The sequence below is a fragment of the Homo sapiens genome, chromosome 11 (assembly GCF_000001405.40).
Source record: "Homo sapiens chromosome 11, GRCh38.p14 Primary Assembly".
Taxonomy (NCBI): Eukaryota; Metazoa; Chordata; class Mammalia; order Primates; family Hominidae; genus Homo; species Homo sapiens.
In genome coordinates, this window is record NC_000011.10 from 120102868 (window position 1) to 120111285 (window position 8418).

Below are 8418 nucleotides of genomic sequence, written 5' to 3' on the forward strand. Positions count from 1 at the left end.
CAGCCTCCAGGATTGAGACCTTAGCATTCCAGAGCCAAGACCCCCAGCTGTGTTTTGGAGGCAGAGGAAATTCAATCTGACACATGGAGGACTGAGGGCCATCAGTTCAAGCAGTGCCTGCAATCAGTGTTACATTGAAGAGACTTGAGAGCCCGGTTTACTGTCAGGACGACCTGAGCTTAAATCCTGTCTCTGCAAGTTACTTCACTGCCCTGGCCTCAACTAGTATGTCTGTAAAATGAAGACACTGACGCTGACCTTGCTCATCAGGTTGTTATAAGAATTAAATGAGGCCAGGCACAGTGGCTCATGCCTGTAATCCCAGCACTTTGGGAGGCCGAGGTGGGCGGATCACGAGGTCAAGAGATCAAGACCTCCTGGCCAACTTGGTGAAACGCTGTCTCTACTAAAACTACAAAAATTAGCCAGGCATGGTGGTGTGCGCCTGTAGTCCCAGCTACTTGGGAGGCTGAGGCAGGAGAATCGCTTGAACCTGGGAGGTGGAGGTTGCAGTGAGCCGAGATCGCGCCATTGCAATCCAGCCTGGCAAGAGAGTAAGACTCCTTCAAAAAAAAAAAAAAAAAAAAAAAAGCATTAAATGAGTTATTCAAGCCTATCCCAAAAGGTTAAATGATTCTGTGACATTCTTAAAATGACAAAATTATAGAAACAGAGATTCATGGTTGCCAGGGGTCAGAAAAGAAGAGAAAGGGGGAAAGTGCCTATGAAGAGACAACAGGAGAGATCCTTGTGGTGACGGAACAGTCTGCATCTTGACTGTGTCAGCGTCTATTTCCTGGTCATGATCTTGTACTATAGTTTTGCAAGATGTTAATATTGGGGGAAACTGGGCAAAGGGCACACTGGATCTCTATTATTTCTTACAACTGCATGTGAATCTACAGTGATCTCAAAATAAGAAGTTTCATTTTTAAAAAAACAGAGTTATTTAAATAATGTTGGGTGAAAGGAAGCATCTGTAACATTAGCTGTTCTTGCTCCCCATCCCTGGGTTGCTCTGCGAGCTGATGTGGCCTGGGAACCTGCATCCTGTGAAACCCTCACAACACTGGGGAAGGGGCTGGAGAGAAGAGCCTGACCGTATGTTTAGCAGCTTTTATTTCTGTGCCTGCCTTGAGTGCTTAATAAATGCAGGAGGGAGGTAGGGAGTGAATGAGTGAGTGAATGAATGAATGAATATTACAGCAAGTGAACTCTCAATCTCTCAGGAAATGAAATGGCCTTAAAGCAAGAGGCACTTGGGATGGATGCAGGAACCATCTTGCAGCCCTAGATTGGCCAGCCCACCCAGCCCCTGCTTTGCCTCGTCTGCCCCAGCTGCATTCCTTGTCGGGGGCAGGCTGCGTGCCTTCGAGGACAGCAGAGTGACGCACTTTAATTAGTGCAAGAGTAAATTACATTGGACGAAGAGAGTCCCAACTTCTCCCGACGGCGCGGGGAAAATAGAAGCCTAGCATTTTCAATTTAAGGTTTAGTTAGATAATGCCTATTGGTGCCAGTAGATTACAGAGTGGATATTAAATCCTGCAGGATTTGGAATCGGAGCATACAAGACGAATCCATAAGTAGGGGAAGCAGCCGGAAGGGGCTGGCCCGCTGTCCTCAGCTAGCAAGAGCACCTCTCTGGGAAGCAGCAGCCTGCACAGAACTAGGGTGCCCACAGCGGCTTCAGAGGGATAGCTGAGGGCTGAAATTCTAGGGGCTGGAACTACTTTCCTGCCTGGCTCCCTGAACCAAGGTTTCCTATGTTATGAATGGGAAGACTAACACCCAAAGGCACCACAGGTTTTGGCAGTCAGAATAGAAACCCACACTTCAATCTCATCCAAACCTTCCCTCCCTTCTCCACCCAGTCAACTCTTATGCTACCTTCGAAACAGCTCAAGAATCTCTTCCTCCAGGAAGCCCTTTCTAACTACCCACTTGGATTCCTCTGTGAGCCCAGAGGACTCCAGGCTTCCTCTGGCATTGAACTCACCAATGATGATTATAATCACGGACATACCTCTCTTCCTCTCCCCTCACTCTTTTGAAAGGTGTGAGCATGGCCTGCTCTCTCACACCCTTGCTCCCAGGCACAGAGGGGCACCCACTAAACATGTGCTGCACAGATGGGGTTTCCATCGTGTTTGTATTTATTTTCCAACAGTTGATGCATTTTGAACATGTGATACATTCACAGCCTTCAAGACTCAAGAGGTACAAAGGGGTCCACGGGGAAAGTCTCCCTCCCGCCCTACCTTGCAGCTCTCCAGCTCCTCCCTAGGAGTAGCCAGTTCCTTGTACACCCATCCAGGAGGCTTTATCCTCATGCAAGCAAATGTGGATGTGCGTTTCTTCCTTTCTCAAGAAAATAGCGGCTACGTCACACATTATTCCCACGTCACTATCTTCACTCCACAACCTGTCTTAAAGACTTCTTTTTCACTACATGGAGGAGGACTTTGTGTTCCCAGGCGTCCTGGAGCCAGACCCTGCTACTTCAGGAGCGGGAGGCTGTGGGGCAGGGGGCTGGAAGGATGGGCTCCCAAGTCCTGCTTTTCCATCAGGGTGTGCAGTGTTGACTGGCATCTTAAGATGCCTCTGTGGCATACCTGGACCAGCAGGCTAGGAGCGGCCAAAATAAGCAGCCTCGGAAGTGTGGACACAGGGCCTGGGAGCCTTGGCCCGAGCCCACAGGACAACTGTAAGCCCCATCAGACTTCCTGGGGGGCAGGATAACGTTTCTGGCAGGCTCAGCTCGAAGGCTCGGGCTCAGTGGAGGAAGCTAGAGAAGCTTATTAGTTTAAGCAGGATAAAATGTGTAAATTAATTACCCCGGCCACCCATGCATGTAGCGGCTGGTCTGCCACTGGGAGGAGAAGAATTAGCCTCCACTCCTCCTGCAGTCTGGCTTTCCTGCCAGATGCAGCCCAGAGGACCCATGACTGCATGGCCACCAGGGAAGGAGGGACCCAGACACCAGAGCCAGGTGGCCTCGAGGAGCTAAGCAGGCCCTCCCTGAAATGCCAGGGATTAGATTCTGCCATCACCACCAGCAACAAAAGCAGCAGTCAGGGAAGAAGTGCCTGAGGCAGGGAAAGGACCCTGTGTCCTGCTCTCCACCATGCATCAGGCACCTATTTATCAAGTGATGATGCACCAGGCACTGTGAAACACTTACTTGCCTCCTTTCATTTGATCCTCTTACAAACCCATACGGTCACTATGATTAGCCCTATTTGGCAGATGAGAAAACTGAGGGTAAGGAAGCGTAAGTAGCTTCTTCTATTGACCCAGCCAAGTCAGGTCAGGTACAGAGTGGCACATTGCCTCTCTCAGAGAGGCACAGACAGAGGATGATCTCTGGGACTGTATCATCCCCCAAGAGTGTTCCCTGCTTCCACACCCACCTCATGGCAGTTCCGCCCCCCTCAGCCCATGGCAGCTGTGCTGCAGTCTCCCTCTCTGGCATTAGTGCTCCTGCAACAGGGACCTACTCTCCAACTCCCCTCCTCCACTCACTGGCCCTTAGCTCTCAACTGTTTCCTAAACCCTGCATCCTCTGCACATCCTGCTTGTGTCTTTGCTTGCTCCTGCACCTGCAATGCCACCAGCGTCTCCACCTGCCACAGTCGGTCCCATCAATGATGTCTCAAGCCACCAGTATAGCGCACCTGGGCCTCCACTCTTGCTTCACCTCGGTTCATTCCTGAGTCCTCTTCTTAGAGCACTGATCTGATTACTCACCCTCCCATGGAGGTGGTCACTGTGTTTACGGTAAAGCTCAGCCCCTATGTAGCCCGGCATGATCCTGCCCTGCCTTTCTCACACATGCAGAACTCACTCAGGTCCCCCCAGATCTTCTCAACTCACTCTCAGCACAGCTGTCCCCTCCTCAGGGGACATGCCTCCTCATCACCGTTTTGGGCCCTGCACGCTCTGATCACCTTCTGGATCAGCTCACAGGCCCAGTCTTGTGAATTCATGCAGAGAGGCAGCTTGTGTCTCCTATATCTTGTGCTTAGATCTTGGTCCAACACAAAAATCTGAATGAATGCAGGCCTCCCCCGAGCCACGCCTCCATTCCTGCTCCTCATCAGGTATCTGTGCACCTCTCTCCCCCCTAGGCCTGTACAATGCCCCCAGTCTTGGGCTCAGGTCACCTAGTGCAGTCCCCACTCCAGGCAGGTCCACACCTGAACCATCAAAGACCCACACCTCACCCTCAAAGAATATGCCGCCTCCTTCTCAGACAAGCTCTCAGGGCTCCACCTTCCACAGCCAGATCTGAATCCTGCAAGTTACCAATCCGTAACAGGGTTTGCAGCCCCTCAATTCAGCCAGTTCAGGATCTTAACATGATAATGGGACCAACCTCAGAAAAATGCAGAATTTGCTAACCAGAGCCAACCTCAAGGCCAACGAGGAAACACGTTATATGTCCACTTGGGATGAATGTATTGATAACGATAAGCCCGGCCAAAGACCTCTCCTCCCTCCCTCACCTGGCTCCCTGTCCTTCCTGGGGAGCTTCAGGGATCCCAGGCACCATCCTCATCCGCTGGGTTGAGGTCACCCATCCACTGCCACATCTTGCAAGAGAGTCTGTTGGTTCCCAAGTTTCCTCACCCCCTCCCCACTCCTTTGCCTCTTCTTAGCCTCTGCCTTGGCAAGGTGATGAATTAGGAGCCAGGAGTTGGCACATTCACCAAGCAATTAGTGTTTATCTTCCTTGTTTCTGTGGCTGAACAACAGATCATTTTCAACCTTAATAGTCAATACTCAGAAAGATAAAACTGTCTGGGTCACTCTTGGGAGGTGATTTGAGGGTTTGGTGGGAAAGGGAGGTGGGATATGAGATGGCCCTGCCTCAGCCATCCAGCCCCCGCCCCTCTGGACAGGCATTCCTGGGGTCCCACCTGTTACCCTTCTGACCTCTCTCCATGGTCCATCAGGAGGCAGGGACAAAGGTCCCCATGTCGTAGCCGGGACACGGAAGGGGGACAAGAGTCAAGCAGCTTGGCAGTTCGCAGCCCCTCAGTGTCCCCTCCCCCTTGGACTTTGAGGACTCTGGCTTTCTGTCTCACTCTTCACCAAGAGCTGCCTTGGGTAGAGCCCTGTCCGACTCATGCAAGCCCTCTTTGGGGGCTGCAAAACTGAGCCTTCTGTGCCCACCCAGCCCCCTCCTCAGGCCAGCTACCTGCAGAGGGAACCCAAAGGTGGCACCCACATAAGGGAAGCCTGCCCCTTCTGCAGAATTCCATGCCAGGTTAGGCAAGGTCTGGTGGGGTGAGCAGTAAGCCCCTATCTGCTGCTCAGACCAGGGGACTGCTGTCCTGGGGTCATATATTCTACAGGCTAGGACAGAAGGGCCTACTCAGCTAATACAGAAGTGGGGGAAGGAGGAGAGAGAGAGAGGCTCACCTTGTAGAAGGGCCCTGGGACCCAGTCCTGACGGCCCGGGCTGGGGCAGGAGTTTGGCGCCCACTCACTGCAGTGAAATGCTGTCACCTGCTGGCCGTGCCTCAGAACTGCAGGAGCCCTGGTGCGGGTCCTAGGGCTGGGCCCAGCAGCTTCCACCCTGTGACTCTCCACCAAGTGCAGAAGGCCAAAAAGAGGGGAAATCAAGCTTCATCCCAGGTTGAAATGTCGTCATTGTCTTTGTTGTTAATTCCACAATAATAATAGTATAATCTCTCAACTGTTGGGCCCTTGCTAAACCAGGTTCTTTGCAGTTTTTTGTTGCTCACAGCAGTCCTTTAAGATGTTATCCCCACTGAAGCTCAGACAGAGTGGGCAGCTTGGCCCTGGTCTTACAGCTGATGGGCAGTGCAGCCAGGATTCTGGCCCTGACAGTGTGGCTCCAGCTCCACACAGTGCCCTCAGAAGCCTATGCCTCAGCTCTCCACACAATGAAATGTACCAGGCACCCATTATTGGATGCCTTCCAGCTCCCCTTTTGATTTTTTCACCTTCCTCTCCCACTTCCTCTTCCCAGTTAACTGCTTCTTAGCCTCCAAGGCCCGCCCACGTGCCAGGCACTGTTCTAGGACAACATGATGGAATAACCCCTGCTATCACGGAGTCCACATTCCAGCAGGTCCTGAGGCCCAGAGCAGAGCTCAGAAGCTCCTGCGTCTCCAGCCTTCCCCCGTCCTGGACAGAGAAGGCTTCTCAGATGGGGACCCATGCCCCTGACAGGGTCTAAAGGAAAGGAGAGGCACGGGGCTGGGTACAGGGAGCCTTGGAGATTTGGGAGTCCAACCTGCCTGCCTATCAGCCCAGGTCTGATGGTGGATTCCCAACCTGACACCAAGCTCAATGTTCCTGTCCCTTCCAACCCTCCTTTTGCTGTGGTCTCCACCTCACAGGCTGTTGGAGCTGGGAAAGAACCCCAGAAATGATCCAATGAATACACCTCATTTTGTAGATGGAGAAGGTCAGACCCAGAAAGGGCAAGCAATTAGCCCAGATCACACAGCCAAGCAACAGAGCCTGGATGAGACTCAGGGCTCCCAACTACCCTGCCAGAGCTCCCTGCTGAGCCCCTCTGCTGCCTCCCTCCTCGCTGGTCTGCCAGGGGGCTACCCACACCTCTGAGAATCACCCAACGCCCAGAGCTGGGAGAGGGCAGGAGACAAGGGAGCATGGGCCAGGACTGTCTGGGTCTGAGAGGAACAGAAGTGGATATAGAGCCTTGCCCCCCTCCTTCCTCCCTAATAGGAGGATTAAACCTCCTATTCTCACTCATGCTGGGGACAGAGGCATTCTCAAGAACTGGGAAGAAAGGATTTCCCTGATTGCTTTATAATCACAGCTCAGACGATAATGGACCTGGTGGGGATTGATGGGGAGAGTGTGATGCTCAGCGACGTCCCCGCCCAGTTCCCAGCACAGCCCTGGGCCTCCTGACACAGCGGTCTTCCCAACATCCCACCAGCCAGCCTCTGTGCAGCAGGTGCAGCCCCTGGTGCAGCCCAGGCATGGGACAGGCAAGGGCCTGGCTGCCCCCACAGGGGAATTTAGCCAGACCTGGTGTCCCATCCAGTTCCCCTTCTCTGGAGCTGGTAGGCTTAGGGCAGGGCCTGGAGAACTGGGAGCCTCTCGTGGCCAGGGTCTTTCTGAGAGTCCGGGCATCTCTGGAGCCCAGGAATGGGTCCTTATCACCATCACAACCCCAGGGTCCTCAAGAAGGGCCAGGAGGCTGCAGGGCACGGTGCCCACAGAGGTGGACCTGCTGGGGCACCACGTAGGGAACCAGCACCCAGGGCAGGGGGCTGTAGGGAGCAGCAACTAACCCCAGGGACACTCTGCAGTCCCAGCTCCCAAGGGAGAACACCACCCAGGTGGCCAAAGCATGTGGGTCCAACTTGTGGTCTCTCTTCTTGACAGTGCTGGAAGGTCCTCCATGGACACACTTGGCCCCTTCTCCTTCCTTTCCTTTCTCACCCTTACCCTCCTGTCTCCCCCTTCTCTCTCTTCTCTGCCATTTCTCCCTCACTTTCTCAATCCCAAGAGCCCCTTCGTGGCAAGCCTGGCTGCTTGGCTCCTAAAGCTCCCTGGCCCAGCAGCGTGGAGAGGAGGAAGGAAGAGTGTTGTCCCTCCACGATGGACCAGCAGCCAGCTTGCTTAGGGACTTTTACTAGGACAGAGGGACTGCTCCCCTGATGTCATCAGGCCCCTGGTGGGGAGCAGAGTGAGGAAGAACAGTGAGAACAGAGGGGCCCGGGTGTCCCTGCCACACCAGGAAAAAGAATGTGGTTGTTTGACACCCTCTTCCCTCTCTACCATCATGCCTCCTCCTGGCTTGCTCACCTCTTCCAGGAAGACTTCCCTGACTCTCCTTCCAGGCTTCTCTGAGTTTCCAGGGACTGGAAGGCCTTTTCCCTTTCCTCCGTCCCCCAAGCCCAGGATGATGCTGTCTTCAGGAGCCTGACCCTCCTGCCAGCCTCAAAGGGGAGCTCTCCTTCCCAGAAGGCCCTCTGTGCACTGAGAAGGCCCTCAGGTCTGAAGCCTCCAGTGGACTTCCACTCCAGCCTGCGTCTGAGCACCAGAGTGCTTGGCTCCCAGCCACTTCTGGGCCCTTCTCCCCCTGGGAACTCTAGGGTGGGCCGGCCAGAAGGTCTGAGCATGGCAGAAGGTATTGAGCATATCCCCAGGCCCACACCCCACTGTCATTCTCCCTGTGTTCATTGTTAGCCAAGGCGTGCCTCCCTGAGGCCCAGGTTCCTGCACTGCACCCCCTGTGTCCCAGACAGGGTGAGGGAGGTCAAGGGAGTTTCAAAGGAGCCACGTTTCTGAGAGGAGAGCAGGAAGATGACCGTGCCTTCATCAGAGGGAAAAAGTGCATTCAGAAGAACTGCAGCCTGTTCCTCTGGGGACCCTCAGGGAAATGGTCATTCAATACAAGAGAAG

At 53.7% G+C, this 8418-nt stretch overlaps 1 annotated feature.

The window, feature by feature from the left end:
• Positions 5580 to 5629: an enhancer, noted in NCBI's record as "active region_5635". NCBI's record gives its function as "activates an Ori minimal core promoter by ATAC-STARR-seq in GM12878 lymphoblastoid cells {active_cell/tissue: GM12878}" and the evidence as "EXISTENCE:reporter gene assay evidence [ECO:0000049][PMID:35858748]".